Source organism: Homo sapiens, chromosome 16 (genome assembly GCF_000001405.40).
Source record: "Homo sapiens chromosome 16, GRCh38.p14 Primary Assembly".
Taxonomy (NCBI): domain Eukaryota; kingdom Metazoa; phylum Chordata; class Mammalia; order Primates; family Hominidae; genus Homo; species Homo sapiens.
The window spans coordinates 23,463,326-23,482,084 of NC_000016.10; the positions used below are offsets into that span (position 1 = coordinate 23,463,326).

Genomic DNA, 18,759 nt, shown 5'->3' on the forward strand with positions numbered 1-18,759 from the left:
TTTCTAAGTAATTCATATTGATAATGGCATTTTCTCCAAGCTATCTATGGTGTTACATGAAAAGAACAAAACACAGAACAGTATACTATATTTTCTTGAACATGCCTAGAATCCCTCTGAAAAGACAGAGGATGGTAACTGGGTGGGAAGAATTTTCACCTTTCATAATTTTGAATCATGTCAATGTCTTTATCTTAAAAAAGACGACACTGAGCATAAAAAAATAAGGTTTTATTTTCAGCTGATTTTAGAAAGCTCAGAAAAAATTTAAAGAAAATTTATCTATAATTCCCTGACCCAAAGATTACCACTGTCAGATGTGCACACAAACATCTTGGTGCATCGCTTGGCTTTAAAACAAACTGGGGTCAGGACATGGTGGCTCATGCCTGTAATCCCAGCACTTTGGGAGGTCAAGGCAGGAGGACTGCTTGAGCCCAGGAGACCAGCCTGGGTAACACAGAGATCCAGTCTTTACGAAAAACTGCAACATTAGCTGGGCGTGGCAGCATGCACCTGTAGTCCCAGCTACTCCAGAGGCTGAAGCCGGAGGATCGCCTGAACACAGGAATTCAAGGCTGCATTGAGCTACAATCACGCCACTGCACTCCAGCCTGGGCAACAGAGCAAAGCCCTGTCTCAAGAAAACAAACAAACCCACTTTTATACTCTTGACGCTGGGTAAGCATCTTCTATAATGGGTATATTTAAAGGATTTGGGATTAATATTGTAGTAGGCAAGCACTATTTGTATTCTAGAATATTGCCCTTGCTTTCTAGCTTTAACATTTTCTGTCTCAATTTACACTATTTGTACTAGGTAATATTCACTTTTCTTTTGGTTGTCATTTATTGTTTTCAACACTATCTTCATGACCTGTTTGTGTTCAGAGTGGCTCACAGATAAGGAAACATTTTTGCCCAGTCTTAAGTTCATGGAAGATAATAGGAAGAGTAATTAACTGCAGCAAAAGGTTAGGACAAAACATGGCATTATCAGGGCTTGAAAGGACTTTATTGTGGCTGTGGTGAAGCAGGCCCTGGTCTTGGCAGATGATACCAGAAGGGCACTGAGTGCCAGCGTGCAACTTGAATTTGATCCCATAAAGTCAGGCATCAGGAAGCCATTCAGAATTTTTCACCCTGTCAGATGCTCAGATTTGCTAGAGAACTCTGGTAGTGGCAAGAACCAGAGCTGTTACTCAGAATTGGGACAGAGGCATTGTCCCAAAAAAAAAAAAGCCCAAATCAGAGCAGTGGCAATGTAAGTGCAGGGAGGACATGATGTGGGATTATTTAGAAAACAGGCCAAATGACATGCAACTACTCTGCGGATACAGACGAAGCAGGAATCAGGGACCCAATAAGTCTCAGGTGCTTTCAAGTAAGAGCATGTAGGTGGAAAGGGGCAGGACTCTGGGTTCCATTCTAAGTAACTGAGACTGAAGCAACAGTGGAACCTCCAGATACAGATAACCCCTGACAGACTGAAATACGATCTGGCGACAGCAAGGAGGTGGCAGCTTGAGAGAGGTCTACAACCCACCTAATGGTTTAGAGCCACCTGACTACCAGGCCTGTGTGTGGACGGGAAAGTCCTGAGGATTGGACTCTGGAAAACCATCACACTTAAGAGACAGAGGAAAAAGAGCAGTCACGGAGGTAGGTCACGAAATGGGTCAACAGGACCCCCGAAGAGTTCAAGATACTGGAAAGCACTGGCCATGAGTGCCAGATCTCCAGCACACACATCATGAATTTGCTTCTCCCCAGAGGAAAAGAAGCTCCTTCAGGGTGGTGCCTGGCTCAGGGTAGCTGGTCAACAACTAGCTTTTAAAAAAACAGAGACACGGTCTCACTATGTAGCCCAGGCTGGACTTGAAATCCTGGGCTCAAGCGGTCATCCCACTCAGCCTCCCAAAATGCTGGGATTATAGGCGTGAGCCACTGTGCACAGCCAATAACTACTTGTTAAGTGAATGAAGAGGTAGGAGCTGGGCTCTAAGTGGCCACTGGACTTGCTGATTAGAAGGGAGTGATGCCATAAACCACAGCCACTTTCAGGACAGCAGCCTGCCTCCTCTCCTCCTACCCCTATCCTGTCCAACACCTAAGCATAGTAGTACCACTGGGAGTCTGTCTCCTCAAAAGCAAGAATGTTCAGGTACACATGTGTGAGTTCACCTCCTAACTATAGGGGAGAAAGCCTGTCTTTATGTATAAGTCTCATTCACCCATTTTGACCAAAACCCTTCAGAGGGAGATGCTGTCATTATGATGGGTACCTCTTCAAGACTACGCAACAGTAACAGAGCCTATAAAAGCTACACAGAGGCCGGGTGCGGTGGCTCACGCCTGTAATCCCAGCACTCTGGGAGGCCAAGGCAGGCGGATCACCTGAGGTCAGGAGTTCGAGACCAGCCTGGCCAACATGGTGAAATCCTGTCTCTACTAAAAATACAAAAATTAGCTGGGCGTGCTGGCTCACGCCTGTAGTCCCAGCTACTCGAGAGGCTGAGGCACGAGAATCGCTTGAACCTGGTAGGCAGAGATTGCAGTGAGCTGAGATTATACCACCGCACTCCAGCCTGAGTGACAGAGTGAGATATGGCCTCAAAAAACAAAAAAAAGCCACACAGAATACAAGCAAGAAAGTACTTTTAGATTAAAATTCGTCTTATGTGAATTATGGCAAATGAAATCACCCCACTGTTTACCTGTTTTATGAGTTTTTACATTTGCTTAAAATTAGCATACTTGATCTTTTACAGTTCCCATCTCCACCAATTAGTATTGGCAGATTTCCACTATATGTAGAAGTCAAAAGATCAGACTGTAAAAATATCAGATATTGTAATTAAGAGCTCCAAACAAGTCTTGCAGTTTCAAAGGTAGAAACCCACCCAGCCAGTTCAGCTGCTTGGACTTCAAAGCCCTCCGCCTAGCCATCTCAGCCAGGCTCAGGTTCCTTCTCCCACCCATCAGGCCAAGCAGGACTTGTCAAACATACACATTCAAGTTCCTAGCACACAGTAGGTGCTAAGTGGGAATTGATTATAAACTTGAATTCTTCCATCAACAAATATCCACCTCTCCTGTCCAGCTTGCCTCAGATCTTCAGGTTCTCTCTTCTCTGAGGCAGCTAAGCTTCTACATCCTTCATGAAGTTTCCTTTACTTCTCGACAGAAGACAGTTCCCTTTAGGCCTATCATCTCTAAATGCAACTGGCTTTCCATTTTCCACTTACTCAACACTCCACAAAGTACACTTGCTACATGGTATTTATTCAATGACTGTATATTTAGTCACCACCTCAATCACTGCTAAGCTCTCTTCATGTCTATCTGTACCACAGTTTCCCATCTTAGACTGTGACGTCAGCTGGCAAGGGCTGGCTGTTGGCCGATTCATCATGACTGACATGGTGTGTCACAAAGAGCTCCAAGTAAATGCTGTGAAGGAAGAGGATGAGGATGGAGATGAGGATCCTGAGAAGGGCCCAGACTGGCTGCCCAACCCATGGACCTGAGGCCTGAGTAAGGCCTGGGAGCTGCTTTCCCCTCTGCCCAGGAACTCTGTCCAGGGGCGATTCTAAGGCACAGTGGTGAAGGACATGATTGGTCCCCCAAGTGTGGTCCTCAGGTCTCATGGCAGCCACTCGCCTGGGAACAGTGCAACAAGCATTCCATTTAGAAGATCTTCCAGAACACACACAAGAAGCATTGTCTAATGAAAATGGAGACAAGGTCTTTCTTGGAAGAGAGTGCCCAAGTAGATACTCTCTGCCCCAAGACTAACCAGGTCCCTTTTAAGGTCCCTGAGAACAGCAGCCTGGGAGCAACCAAGCCTTTCAAAGGCTGACAAGGCACAGAGTGGATGAATGGAACGAACGATACATGAAAAAAACACTTTGGCTGATAAAACCTCCAACCTGAGGCAGGGACAGTGTCGCTCGCTGACATGCAGAAACATGACTGTAGCAGAGATGATGATGATGAGAAATGCTTCGCATTTCCCACACTGCCGATATCCCAAGCCCTGTGCTACCACCCTCTCCCCGAACACACACACACACACACACACACACACACACACACACACACACACAGAGCATCTGCAGAATAAGTCAGAGGTTGACACCCAGAGCCTGACGTCAGGATAGGACTCTTGGCACTCCGCACTGAAACACCGTGATTAGTCCTGACTAGACAGCAAAAGTAACGCCAGCCTAAGCTTGAAATGAAGGGTCCATCTTGTGAAAAGTTAGGCTGCGCCCAAGACAGCCAGGTCTGGGAAGTCTTTCACTTCTCCTACTTCGCTGAAAGGCTGTCCACCTTGGTTGAATGTCAGCTTGTACCGTAAGCGGATAGGTTCCTGGGACAGAAGAGACAGAAGATGTCAAATCAGTGGAGAGCAACCCAGGAACAGGGGTCAATGTTAAGTCAAGTGAGTGTTTCAAACAATTCTGACACAAAATACCTGGGATACTCTCTTTGGGACTACAAACAAGGGGAAACAGGCACATATCCTGGGAACCCTTCGATAATTCTGCAGTCCTGAAATCCTGAGATGGGCTGCAATTCAGAGACCAGCTAAGGAAGACAGACCTTGTCCTTTCAGAGGACTCCAGAGGATTAGGGAGAGTTCATGTGTCCCTCCCTTGGTCCCCAGCTATGACAATCCATCTGATCTTCCTTCAGTGAGCCCCAAAGACAGACTCCAGCGAGGGATATTCCACATATACCCCTAACACCCAACCAAACCAGAGACTGACTTTCTTTTCTTTTTCTCTTCTCCTTCCTTCCTTTCCTCCTTCCCTCCCTCTCTCTCTCTTTCATCTATCTGTCTGTCTGTCTATCTATCTATCTATTTGATAGAGTCTCGCTCTGTCACCAGGCTGGAGTGCAGTGGTGCGATCTTGGCTCACTGCAACCTCCGCCTCTTGGGTTCAAGCAATTCTCCTGCCTCACTCTCCCGAGTAGCTGAGACTACAGGCGCACGCCACCATGCCCAGCTAATTTTTGTATTTTTAGTAGAGATGGGGTTTCACCATGTTGGCCAGGATGGTCTCGATCGCTTGATCTCGTGATCCATCTGCCTCAGCCTCCCAAAGTGCTGGGATTACAGGCGTGAGCCACTGCACCTGGCCGACTTTATTTTTTTTTGAGATGGAGTCTTGCTCTGTTGCCCAGGCTGGAGTGCAGTAGTGCGATCTCGGCTCACTGCAACCTCCACCTCCTGGGTTCAAGCAATTCTCCTGCCTCAGCCTCCTGAGCAGCTAGGACTAAAGGTGCGTGCCCCCACAACCAGCTAATTTTTGTATTTTTAGTAGAGATGGGGTTTCACCATGTTGGCCAGGCTGGTCTCAAACTCCTGACCTCAGGTGGTCCACCTGCCTCAGCCTCCCAAAGTGCTGGGATTACAGGGGTGAACCACTGTGCCCAGCAAACCAGAGACTTTAGAGCAAGGCCTCAATGTGCCTCTCTCTACCCACAAAGTTACCTCCCCTTACAGTTCAGGGGCCCCCATCTCCCTGCTACCACAGACACTGGAACATACTTTGTGTGGATTGTCAAGCAGCAGCATCTGAGATATCACAGCTGGAGGCATCAAAGGACTGAATGCAGGAAGCTTGGAGCTGGATGCCGGCTGCAGCTTCACTCTCATTGACTATCAGGGGAAGAAAACCAACATGTAACTCATTCCTAACCACAGCTTCTAGGATGGAGATCAGGTGAGGGGGAGCTGGACCTCCCCAACACCCCTCCAAGAGGAAATGGCCCTCTTAAACGTGGTACCCCGAGGCACCTATGGGAGCCCAAGCAGACAGACTCCCACTAATTGATAAAAGGATCTAAGAGGCCTTTCCTTCCACACACAGAATGGATCGGGAGTTGTGTGGTCAATAACCGGCATCTGAGACGCAGCATCAACAGCCAGGGCACATCTTGGGTTGAATTCTAACTGCTTCTCACTAGCTCTGTGACCTTGAGTAAAATATTTAATTTCTGAGCCTTGGGTTAACTTATAAAACAGAGGTAGTAGCAGAACATTGCCCATAGGACTACCGTAAGAAGTAGAGACTGCAGGTCATATTTTTGTCTGTCTCGAATCTTTTCCTTTCAGGACAGGCCCCTTCCCCTGTGACTGTGGGGTGCCTGTTAATCAGTAGGGCCCCACTTCCCTTGAAAAGGGATGGATGTTATCTCACATTGGCCAAGTGTCTCATATCCCAGGATACAAGTTCCTGGTCCAAGGTATGGAAGTAACACCAACAAGCCCAATCAGAGCCCTTTCCTGGGTAATCAATATATGTGCTTCATGCCCGGTGAGAGTTTCTGAGATAAAGAGGGTTAAGGACCATGCAACCCTGGAGCTGTGGGTAGCCACTTTCCTGTTTGTGGAGAAACTGTCAGAATGGTGCCAAAGAAAAGCAGAGTCAAGAGATACAGATTCTTAAGGCATTGTTTAAGAACCTATTTGGATTCACTCATATCTGAAGTCAGATATTCAGGAATCCCCAGTCAGGTAAGCCATTACATTCCCACTTTATCTTCAGTTAGTTTGAGTGAAGATTCTTTCCTTGACACTCGACAGGTAAGTCCCAGAAAAGAACCTGGCACTCAAAAACGACAGCCATTACTGAGAAATCCCCAACAGATGACTCACCTTTGGCACAGCCACTTGAAACATGATATCCCAGACAGGCTGGGGAGCCGTGCTCATCATGGTCAAGAGCAGCACCTGTACCTCTGGGTGCCCAGGGGCTCCCGTCTGGGAGAAGTGGAGCAGAATTCTGAATCCATTCCGGTCATACACAATGAGAGGCGGCAGGCTGCCTGGTATAAAGGGCACAAGCAGAAGGTTTAACACCACTACAAACCCCCCGGACAGCCAGGCTGGAAAGAGATGTACATGTTATCCCCAGATGCTGTTGCTTCTCCATGCAGAACATGTCCAGGACTGAATTCCTCTGCACTACCATAATCCAAGTCCTCATGACTCTAGCTGGACTCCTATGACCCTCCAAACTGACCTTTCCCCACCATCCAACCATCATACACACACCACCAGTTATTAAAAATCACATTTTTGAGGAAGATACGATCATTATTAAAATAATGCATGAACACTATAGAAAATAGAGAATTATCAGCCAGGCGTGGGGGCTCACGCCTGTAATCCCAGCACTTTAGGAGGCCAAGGCGGGTGGATCACTTGAGGTTAAGAGTTCAAGACCAGCCTGGACAACATGGCAAAACCCCATCTCTACTAAAAATACAAAAATTAGCTGGGCATGGTGGTACACACCTGTAATCCCAGCCATTTGAGAGGCTGAGGCACGAAAATCACTTGAACTCGGGAGGCGGAGGTTGCAATGAACTGCACTCCAGCCTAAGTGACAGAGCGAGACTCTGTCTCAAACAAACAAACAAACAAAAAACAAAAAGCCACACACACACAAAAACAGGATTATCATTAAAAAATGAAATAAATGCTTTTTTTTTTTTTTTTTTTTTTGGACAGACTTTCGCTTTTGTTGCCCAGGCTGGAATGCAATGGCATGATCTTGGCTCACCGCAACCTCTGCCTCCCGGATTCAAACGATTCTCCCACCTCAGCCTCCCTAGTAGCTGGGATTACAGGCATGCACCACCACGCCTGGCTAATTTTTGTGTTTTTAGTAGAGATGGGATTTCTCCATGTTGGTCAGGCTGGGGGAGGTCAGGCCTCAAACTCCCGACCTCAGGTGATCCGCCCACCTTGACCTCCCAAAGTGCTGGGATTACAGGCGTGAGCCACTGCACCCGGCCAATGCATTCTTAATTCTACCCAGAAATAAGCACTTACTTCCTTCTGGTCTCTTTTATATGAGTACAAACACACACATATGCTCACACACACACAATATACCACCTTATATTTAATTGTACAAAACTGTAGATACCAAATCACCTCAAATTAATAAGTTTAATAACATTCCAATGGAAATTCTAAAGAGACTTTTAATTTAGCTAAGGAGTGACTCTAATGTTTATTTGAGGGGGGAAAACTATGTAAGACTGACCAATAAATTTAAAAAGGGGGGCAGGGCTATAGCAAATACTCAGATAAAATTACAATTCAAGTAAAGTGACATAAACAAAACGTGTGGAACAGATCTAAATGAGACTGTAACATAACATATCCTTCAAAAATCAGGGCTGGCTCAATGAATGGCACTCAGACTGGTTAATCAGCTAAAAAAAAAACCTTAATATCAAAATATACATTACTAAAATATAGCTTAGAGCTGGGTATGGTGTCTCATGCCTGTAATCCCAGCTACTCAGGAGGCTGAAATGGGAAAACTGCTTGAGGTCAGGAGTTCAAAACCAGCCTGGGCAATACAGTGAGATCTGCCTCCCACCCTCAAAAAGACAATAAAAATTTGCTGGGTGTGGTGGTGCATGCCTGTCATTCTAGCTACCTGGGGGTCTGAGGCAGGAGGATTGCTTGAGCCCAAGAAGAATATGAGGCTGCAGTGAGCTATGACTGTGCCACCGCACTCCTGCCTAGGCGATGGAGCGAGGCCCCATCTCTAAAAAAATTTAAAAAAAAATTAAAACATAGTTTAACAATGAAACTACCAAAGATTTAAGAGACTGAAAATACCAGTGGGGTATGGTGGCAAGAGTATGGGGAAAAAAAGCAACCTTTTCAGACGGGAAATTGGTAATGCAGATCAAAATTTTAAATGTCTACATGTGGCATTTCACTGGTATTATGATCTCCTCATAATCAGGAAGGTATAAAGAAAGGCATCCAAAGATGTTCTTTGTAGCCCTGGCATCCAAAGATGTTCTTTGTAGCCCTGGTTTTTTTTTTTTTTTTTTTTTTTTTTTTAGACACAGTCTCACTGTGTCACCCAGGCTGGAGTGCAGTGGCGCAATCTCAGCTCACTGCAACCTCCGCCTCCCAGGTTCAAGCGATTCTCTTGCCTCAGCCTCCCAAGTAGCTGGGACTACAGGCGCCCACCACCACGCCTGGCTAATTTTTTTTGTAGTTTTTAGTAGAGACAGGGTTTCACCATGTTGGCCAGGTTGGTCTCAAACTCCTGACCTCAGGTGCTCCACCCACCTTGGCCTCCCAACGTGCTGGGATTACAGGCATGAGCCACCACACCCAGCCTGTAGCCCTGTTTTTAACAGCAAACAGGTAGAAAGAAATTGACCTTCAGAGAAGGACTTAATAAGCTGGACATAGTGGCGCATGCCTGTAGTCCCAGCTACTTGGGAGGCCAAGGTGGGAGGATGGCTTGAGCCTGGAGGATGGAGGTTGTAGTAAGCTGAGATGGCGCCACTGCACTCCAGCCTGGGTGATAGGGCCAGACCTTGTCTCAAAAATAAAATAAAATAAAATAATTTAAAAAAAAAGACTGAATAGGGCCGGGCGCAGTGGCTCACGCCTGTAATCCCAGCACTTTGGGAGGCCGAGGTGGGCAGATCACGAGGTCAAGAGATCGAGACCATCCTGGCTAACACGGTGAAACCCTGTCTCTACTAAAAATACAAAAAAGTAGCTGGGCGTGGTTGTGGGCACCTGTGTCCCAGCTACTCGGGAGGCTGAGGCAAGAGAATGGTGTGAATCCAGGAGGTGAAGCTTGCAGTGAGCCGAGATCATGCTGCTACACTCCAGCCTGGGTGACAGCGAGACTCTGTCTCCAAAAAAAAAAAAAAAAAGACTGAATAAACAGATTACAGTACCTCTACTTAATAGTGCATATATATATAAGTTCATTAAAAATCAAGTTTTTAAAGAACAACTAAGGGCATAAAAATGGTATAGGCTTATAAAGTAACAGTAAATAGAGTATAAAACATTCTATACACACTGTGGTATCAAATTATTAAGAACTGTATGTACATATATATGTATATGATAAGACAAGAAAATCTATCAAGACATGAAGAGAATTTCCATCTCTGGCTGTTAATGGTATAGATGATTTTACTTTTCTAGTCTTTTTTTTTTTTTTTTTTTTTTTTTTAGACAGAGTCTTCTCTGTTGCTCAGACTGAAGCGCAGTGGCACGATCTCAGCTCACTGCAACTTCTGCCATCTGGGTTCAGGTGATTCTCCAGGCTCAGGCTCCTGAGTAGCTGGGATTACAGGTGTACATTACCACACCCAGCTAATTTTTATATTTTTAGGGTTTCACCATGTTGGCCAGGCTGGTCTCGAACTCCTGACCTCAAGTGATCTGCCCACCTTGGCCTCCCAAAGTGCTGGGATTACAGGCATGAGCCACTGCGTCTGGCCTATTCTATCTTTAATAAAACTCTACATTTTGAACATGTATTTTTGTTTTTAACTTTTTTATTTTTTAAAGTTTGTTTTGTAATAATTTCAGACTTATAAAAAGTTATAAAACTAATACAAAAATTTCTATATACCCTTCATGTAGCTTCCCCAGATGTTAACATCGTAACTACAATACAGTTATTGAATTCAGAAAATTAACATTGAACATGTATTATTTCTTAAATCAAAAATCAATAAAGAAATGTGCAAAGAGCTCCCATTGTTTATCAACTCTGTTTATTTATAAATTTGTCTGCCTGGCTTTCAGGGCTCTCTGCAATCTAACCTCACCACAAAGAGCCATAGGAGGGCTCTGTGCTAAAGAGTCCAGGCCCTGGAACAGACGACCTGAGTTGTGTCCTGCTCTGCATACTGGTGTAGAGACGGTAGGCACCTTAATTAGCCGAGCCTTCCATTTCCTTCCCTTTTAACAGAGATAATATCCACTTTTCTGCCTTAAGGAGGATCCCTAGAGAAGGAGGATCACTAGCCAAATTCATCCACTCGTTTGAATTCTACCTCTTGCCAGTCATTTCAGGCCACATTAAACATTCCCTTCTTGAATCCCAACCCAAATCAACGAACATTATGTGCCTAAGTAAGCCTTTTAATTAAATTCTGCCTGCCCATATCCTTGACAGTGTCAATACTAAGGAAGGCTAAGAAATCAGCTAAAAGACAAAGAAGCAAACTTTTTTTTTTTTTGGAGACGGAGTCTCACTTTGTCACCCAGGCTAGAGTGTGGTGGCATGATCTTGGCTCACTGCAACCTCCACCTCCTGGATTCAAGCAGTTCTCCTGCCTCAGCCTCCCAAGTAGCTGGGATTACAGGCATGCACCACCATGTCCAGCTAATGTTTGTATTTTTTGTAGAGAGAGGGCTTCGTTATGTTGGCCAGGCTGGTCTGGAACTCCTGGCCTCAAGTGATCACCTGCCTTGGCCTCCCAATTTTTTTCTTCCCCCCCAAATAGAGACAAGGCTATGTCGCCCAGGCTGGTCTCAAACTCCTGGCCTCAAGTGATCCTCCCACCTCAGCCTCCCAAAGTGCTGGGATTACAGGCGTGAGTCACCATACCTGGCCACAACCTCTTACTTTCTGCCCTCATGCAAAATCTCTCCCATTTATCAACCAAATTTAAGGGCCACCTCTATCAAACTGGAGTGGAAAAAGCTGGGAGTCTAATAGATTCCCAGGGAAAAAAAAAAAAAGGTGGGGAGTGAAATTGTACTTACTGGGCTTAACAGACTCCAAAGGGACAAACACTTGAGCCAGAGGTGTATTCTGTGAAGATGGGGAAGGAGCCAACGGGCCAGCCTCCCAGGACCAACCTGGAGAGGACTTAGTACCTGGTGGCACTTCCTTGGGGACACTTTTCTGCGAAACATAATTCCTACAAAGAAATAAAAAATATCAAAGACTAGCAAAAATTGTAGCGATTTCCTGGAATCTGGGTTAGGCTTATTAAAGAACAAGGAAAAAATAACACACACACACACACAGAGTTAGATGTTATATGCCTTTTTTTTTTTTTTTTTTGATACAGTATCTCGCTCTGTTGCCCAGGCTGGAGTGCAATCGAACAGTCTCGGCTCACTGCAACCTCTGCCTCCCAGGCTCAAGCGATTCTCCTGACTCAGCCTCCCGAGTAGCTGGGATTACAGGCACCTGCCACCATGTCCGACTAATTTTTGTATTTTTATTAGAGACAGGGTTTCACCACGTTGGCCGCGCTGGTCTCAAACTCTTGACCTCAGGTGATCCGTCCGCCTCGGCCTCCCAAAGTGCTGGGATTACAGGCGTGAGCTAATGCGCCAGATGTTATATGACTTTTGTCAAGTAATCGAACTCATACCTCAGCTTCCTCATCTGTTAAATGGGAATAACAGAAGTAATTTACCTCCTAGGGCTACTGTAAGAATCAAATGAGACGATGTATGAAAAGCACTTAGAGGCTGGGCACGGTGGCTCACGCCTGTAATCCCAGCATTTTGGGAGGCCGAGGCAGGTGGATCATTTGAGGTCAGGAGTTCAAGACCAGCCCGGCCGACATGGTGAAACCCCATCTCTACTAAAAATACAAAAATTAAAAAAAAATAAAAAATAAAAAATTAGCCAGGTGGTGGTGGCACACGCTTGTAATACCAGCTACTCAGGAGGCTGAGGCAGGAGAATGGCTAGAGCCTGGGAGGCGGAGGTTGTGGTGAGCCGAGATCACACTACTGCACTCCAGCCTGGGCAACAGAGTGAGACTCCATCTCAGGAAAAAAAAAAGAAAAAAACAAAAGCACTTAAAATGTCCACACATAATAAGAACCCAATAACCTAGAGCCTTTGTTATGAAGGTTGTTCATGTTGTACCTGTCGGGCAGTCCCTGACAATAAGTAGCTCAGTCAGGTTGTTTCCCAGGTGTGATCACAAAGGGACTTGAGCCAGGCAGATGATACACAAATTATACCAGCTACTATCCACTCCATGATTTTGTTCATTTGGGACACAAACTGAAAACATTTTAGAAAACTAAAGTCCTGAGAGGAGAAATAACCCACCCTGCCCGAGTGGCTGAAAAAAAGAAGACTGCAAGAAATGACCTCTGGGTGGCAAATGGGAATGAACTCCCAGGACATCCCACTTCTGCCTGAGCCTGGTGGTTTCTATCAGGAACATGGGCACTTTCAGGCTGTTTGGGTGAAGGTAAGCTGCACTTTTCCAGAGGCAAAGGGACAGGATCTATGAAAATGTTGTTACATTCACACCTTAGAGAACCTCTCCCTTCAGGGATCTATACTATAAGGCACTCCCCCAAGCACCTCCAAACCAGAAATTATGTAAATGTCCAAAAAAGGGAAATGATCAAATACATCCATGCAATAAATTGTAATGTAGCTATTAAGACTGAGGCATATTTATAGAAACTGATATGAAATGCATCACAGATATAATATGAAAAGGTCATGCTGGAGTGCGGTTTATAAATTAAAATCCTGTTTGTGTAACAAGACACAGGAATGTACCACTACATGTATACAAAAAAAGCAAAAAAGGAACGTTCAACCTTGTTTTTAGGGAGTGGCACTTTGCACTTTGTTGTATGTTTCTCCATGGATCAAATTTTGCTTAACTTCAATTATATGGTTATTAGAAGGGAAAACAAAAACAAACGGCAAAAACCTCATGTTCTACTACTCCTAGTCCTTAAATAAACCTCTTTTCAGATGTCTTGGCCAAAGCAGGTATTTTCCTACGACTTAGGAAAAGAAGTAAAATGAGAAAAGGGAAGCAGCACATTAAACTTTTTTTGAGACAGGGTCTCACTCTGCTGCCCAGGCTGGAATGCAGTGGCATAGTAATGGCTCACTGCAGCCTCGACTTTCCGGGCTCAAGTGATCCTTCTACCTCAGCCTCCTGAGCAGCTGGGACTACAGTCATGACCTACCACGCCTGGCTAATTTTAGTATTTTTTGTAGAGATGGGGTTTTGCCATATCTCCCAGGCTGGTCTTGAACTCCAGGGCTCAAGCGATCCACCTGCCTTGGCCTCCCAAAGTTCTGGGATTACAGGTATGATATGGTTTGGCTGTGTCCCCACCCAAATCTCATCTTGAATTGTAGCACCCACAATTCCCACATGTTGTAGCAGGGACCCAGTAAGAGATAACTGAATCATGGGTGCAGTTTCCCCATACTGTTCTCACGGTAGTAAGTCTCATGAGACCTGATGGTTTTATAAGGGGAAACCCTTTTTCGTTTGGCTCTCATTCTCTCGTCTGCTGCCACATAAGACACGCCTTTTGGCTGAGTGTGGTGGCTCATGCCTGTAATCCCAGCACTTTGGGAGGCTGAGGCAGACGGATCATGAGGTCAAGAGATCGAGACAATCCTGGCTAACACAGTGAAACCCCATCTCTACTAAAAAAAAATACAAAAAATTAACCGGGTGTGGTGGCACACGCCTGTAATCCCAGCTACTCAGGAGGCTGAGGCAAAAGAATCGCTTGAACCTGGGAGGCAGAGGTTGCAGTGAGCTGAGATCGCGCCACTGCACTCCACCCAGGGCGACAGAGCGAGACTCCATCTCAAAAACAAACAAACAAACAAAAACACATGCCTTTTGCCTTCCGCCATGACTGGGAGGCCTCCCCAGCCACATGGAACTATGAGTCCATTAAACCTCTTTTTGTTTTTAAATTACACAGTCTTGGGTATGTCTTTATCAGCAGTGTGAAAACAAGTACAAGGCATGAGCCACTGCACCTGGCCTAAACTTTCAATAGAAAGATGTTTCTTGGCCAGGCAGACGGATCACCTGAGGTCAGGAGTTTGAGACCAGCCTGGCCAACATGGTGAAACCCCGTCTCTACTAAAAATTAAAAAAAAAAAATTAGCTGGGCATGGTGGCGCGTGCCTGTAATCCCAGCTACTTGGGAGGCTGAGGCAGGAGAATCGCTTGAACTCAGGAGGTAAAGGCTGTAGTGAGCCGAGATTGTGCCACTGCACTCTAGCCTGGGCAACAGAGTGAGACCCCGTCTCAAAAAAAAAAAAAAAAGAAAAAAAGACAAAAAAAAAAAAAAGAAAGAAAGAAAGATGTTTCTCCAGGGCGAGAGGCTGTCTTAGAGCACCATTCTCTGGCCCTTGTCCCATGAGAAGGAACCGCACTCAGGAGCCACACTCTCCCACTCCCCTTGCCCAGAAGACTCACAGAGGGCACGGAGCTGGCTGTGCTGAGAGGAGGTCCAGCAAATTCCTGTCTGCAGAAGGGTTCTGAACACCACCGCCTGGCAGCGTGCTGGAGGAGGGATTCCTCTTTTCCTCACAGCAATTCTGACCAGAAACCTGTCAAATCAGGAATGGCTAAAATAAGACCAGGGTATGAATGACCATCAGCCACAGTAAAACCAAGGCACAGCTCTCCTGAGCCCACCCAAGCTGCTGTGGCCCAGACTGGTGACATCTCTTGGGGCAAGAGGGGAAAGAAAGGGCAAGATCACATGCAGCTCCTGGGCAGACCTCCAGGAAGCAGGAGCCTGGTGCAACCTGTCTCCCCCAGGTATCAGCCAGACAGTATGGGTGAGGAAGAGGCTTTGGACCTCCAAGGCCATGATCCCACCGGGACAGTGCAGGAGCACCTCTCTGCTCGCCAGGCAGTGCTGCCTCACAAGGGCAGGTCTGAGACCCTCCCATTCTCTCTCCGGGCCCTGGGAAGGGCATCCTTACCATGCCTGTAACAGGAGCATCACTGATTCCTGTAAGAAAGGAGTAGAGTGAGATGCCTAACAGTAACTCCACCTGCTTCCAGATGAAGAGTAATGCCACACCCATCCTTTCTAGGACATCCAGAAAGTCTAGACAAATAAGCAACTTACTGAAGGTCATGTGACTCGTCCATGGCCAATCTGTGACTAATATGCAAGGGGGACCCTCTGAACTGCCCAGAACACCTGATTCCCTTGGCAGCAGGTATGTGCTCCCCAAGGGAACCAGCTCACTCTCCTACTCACAACCACCCTGATTGCCTCAGCAGCAGGTATGTGCTTCCTGAGGGGACCAGCTCACTCCCCTACTCAAAACCACCCTGATTCCCTCAGCAGCAGGCATGTGCTTCCTGAGGAGACCAGCTCACTCCCCTACTCAGAACCCTGCTGATTCTCTCAGCAGCAGGCACTTGCTCCCAGAGGGAACCAGCTCACTCCCCTACTCACACCCATCCCGATTCCCTCAGCAGCAGGCATGTGCTCCCTGAGGGTCCAGCTCACTCTCCTACTCACAACCACCCTGATTCCCTCAGCAGCAGGTATGTGCTCCCTCAGCAGCAGACACGTGTTCTCCGAGGGTCCAGCTCACTCCCCTACTCACACTCTCCCTGACTTGCTCAGCAGCAGACACGTGCTTCCCAAGGGGACCAGCTCACTCCCCTACTCACACCCATCCTGACTCCCTCAGCAGCAAGCACGTGCTCCCAGAGGGAACCAGCTCACTCTTCCTATTCACAACCATCTCGACTCCCTCAGCAGCAGGCATGTGCTCCGCGAAGGGAACCAGCTCACTCCCCTACTCGCACCCATCCTGTGCCTGCTCCCCACAAGCACCTGCCCTCACCCAAGGCTGCCAGGTCCTGATGAAGCAAAGATGGCACCACAGTCCCCATCTGCGCAGGTCCATTGTCCACCTCCAAGTCAATCAGGGGGCAGGTCTTCATGCAGCCTGCTGGATTCTGAAAGACTAGAAAGCCCAGGGTTAGGAAGAGAAGTCAGTTGGACATGAGAGCAAAGTCTCCACATAAATCCTATCAGCTTCCCTCAGACCACCTCCTAATCAAATGGTAACGCCCTCCCTGCCCTTCCAAGAACCTTCCACTCAGCTGAGTGTCCTGACACACAAGCTCAGCTGGCATCCAAGACAAGAGGGAGCCAAGGCCTGCCTTCCTACCCCAGGGATCATAGGCCCTCCTGCAAAGATCCCATCACTCTGGAGGAAAGCAGATTCGGCCTTCTCCAGCTCAGGCCATTCTGAGGCTTCTGACCACAGCTGATTAGAATCACCCACAGTGCTTGAAAGACGCACACCTCCAGGCCCAGCTCCAAGCAGTCTTGATTCAGAAGGTCCAAGCCAGGGACCGCATTTCAACCAGTGCTCCAGGTGATTCTGATACAGCTGACCTGGCACTAGGAACCACTAAGGAAGATCATTTCTTTTGTCTCTAGCTCCTGTATGCAAGCATTTATGAGAATTCAAACGCAGGCACAGCTTAGCCATCTGCTTTTGTGTGTAGTCAAAGCTGGGGTCCAGCCCGGCAACCAGCTCATGACAATTCCTATGGCTGGGTGTGGCAACATATCCACTTTCACAGGAAGGGGAACAAAGGGCGAGTTCTCTCATTTCTATTCCTTAACCCAGAATATGTTTAGGACCCATTTCTTTTCTGGGAATTACAGGCTGCCCCAAGGCAGAGAAGGCAAGGAGAAGCTTTCAAACATACCTCTGGAGACAGGGATGTCTCCCAATGAGCTGGTCACTCTGTTTCCAAAGGTGACCCGGCCCTCCATCACCTGTTTGTACAGCAGAACTCCTTGGGTGAGGAGGTCATTTGCCTGGAGAATTTCCGCTGAAGAATGAGGGAAGACTCAGAACCCCCTGGTTTGGCAACCAACAATCTCAGTCTTTTCTAAGCTTTTCCATAAAACAGCCTTCATATGGCTAGACTATGTTCAGTTTATCCACACCTCCTGCCTCCAGGTTGTGTCATCGGACCCTATCAGGCCTAGTCAGTTAACCTGAGTCCTAACATGTTAGTAGTTCTCAATGCAGAAGGAAGCAAATCTGTTCACCTTCTACACCTGTACTGTCCAGAGTAATGGCCAGCAGTAAGCACTCAAATTAAGGCCCTTTCAATAACAAACTTTTAACTTTAACTCAGAATCTGAAGCTGCTGGCTCTGTGCAGTGGCTCATGCCTATAATCCCAGCATTTTGGGAGGCCGAGGCGGGTGGATCACCTGAGGTCAGGAGTTCGAGACTATCCTGGTCAAAATGGTGAAACCCAGTTTCTACTAAAAATACAAAAAATCAGCCGTGGCAGGTGCCTGTAATCCCAGCTATTCGGGAGGCTGAGGTGGGAGAATTGCTTAAACCCAGGAGACGGAGGTTGCAGCGAGCTGAGATCGCACCATTGCACTCCAGCCGGGGCAGCAAGAGCGAAACTCCATCTCAAGAAAAAAAGAAATATCAGAAACAGAACATGAGCAGCATCATGGGGGATGCCACGAGCAAAACTGAGACCGAGAGAACTGTCAATTCAGAGGGCCTATTTTCATGCAAGGAAAAAAGGCTGTGTGTGGTGGTTCACGCCTGTAATCCCAGCACTTTGGGAAGCCAAGGCGGGCAAATCACTTGAGCCCAGGAGTTTGAGACCAGCCTGGCCAACATGGCAAAACTCCATCTCTACTAAAAGTACAAAAATTAGCCAGGTGTGGTGGTGCGCAACTGTAGTCCCAGCTACTCAGGAGGCTGAGGCATGAGAATCGCTTGAACACAGGATGTAAAGGCTGTAGAGGCTACAGTGAGCTGAGCACGCCACTGGACTCCAGCCTGAGCAACAGAGTGAGACTGTCTCAAAAAAAAGGAAAAAGGATTGCAGAGGGCATGCACATGCTATCCACTAAGAGAGACAGAAGAAATATAAACCAATTATATGGCTTTTCTTTTATGTCTGATTTAGAACAATTTTTTTTTTTTAAGTTAGCAAGAGATGATTAAGGAGAAATTTTATCAGGGCAATCTGAACACTGACTGAATCTTTGATTATTCTGAAATGTCCAGAGGCCGGGGATCGTGGCTCACGCCTGTAATCCCAGCACTTTGGGAAGCCGAGGCAGACGGATCACTAGAGGCCAGAAGTTTGAAACCAGCCTGGCCAAAAT

General features: G+C 46.8%; 1 protein-coding gene across 3 annotated transcripts in view; it reads right to left on the reverse strand.

Moving 5' to 3' along the window:
• Positions 1 to 216: 216 nt before the first annotated feature.
• The window catches only part of GGA2 (golgi associated, gamma adaptin ear containing, ARF binding protein 2), a 60,818-nt gene continuing 42,275 nt past the window's right edge, over positions 217 to 18,759 (reverse strand). For all 3 annotated transcript variants that reach the window (XM_047433801.1, NM_015044.4, XM_047433802.1), the window contains 8 exons: positions 17,320 to 17,445; positions 16,440 to 16,562; positions 15,558 to 15,586; positions 15,043 to 15,176; positions 11,579 to 11,736; positions 6,671 to 6,840; positions 5,561 to 5,671; positions 217 to 4,375 (listed from right to left, as the gene is read on the reverse strand). In XM_047433801.1, coding sequence (XP_047289757.1) covers positions 4,265 to 4,375; positions 5,561 to 5,671; positions 6,671 to 6,840; positions 11,579 to 11,736; positions 15,043 to 15,176; positions 15,558 to 15,586; positions 16,440 to 16,562; positions 17,320 to 17,445 — 962 coding nt within the window. In that variant the 3' untranslated portion in view covers positions 217 to 4,264. The remainder of the gene's footprint in view (positions 4,376 to 5,560; positions 5,672 to 6,670; positions 6,841 to 11,578; positions 11,737 to 15,042; positions 15,177 to 15,557; positions 15,587 to 16,439; positions 16,563 to 17,319; positions 17,446 to 18,759) is intronic.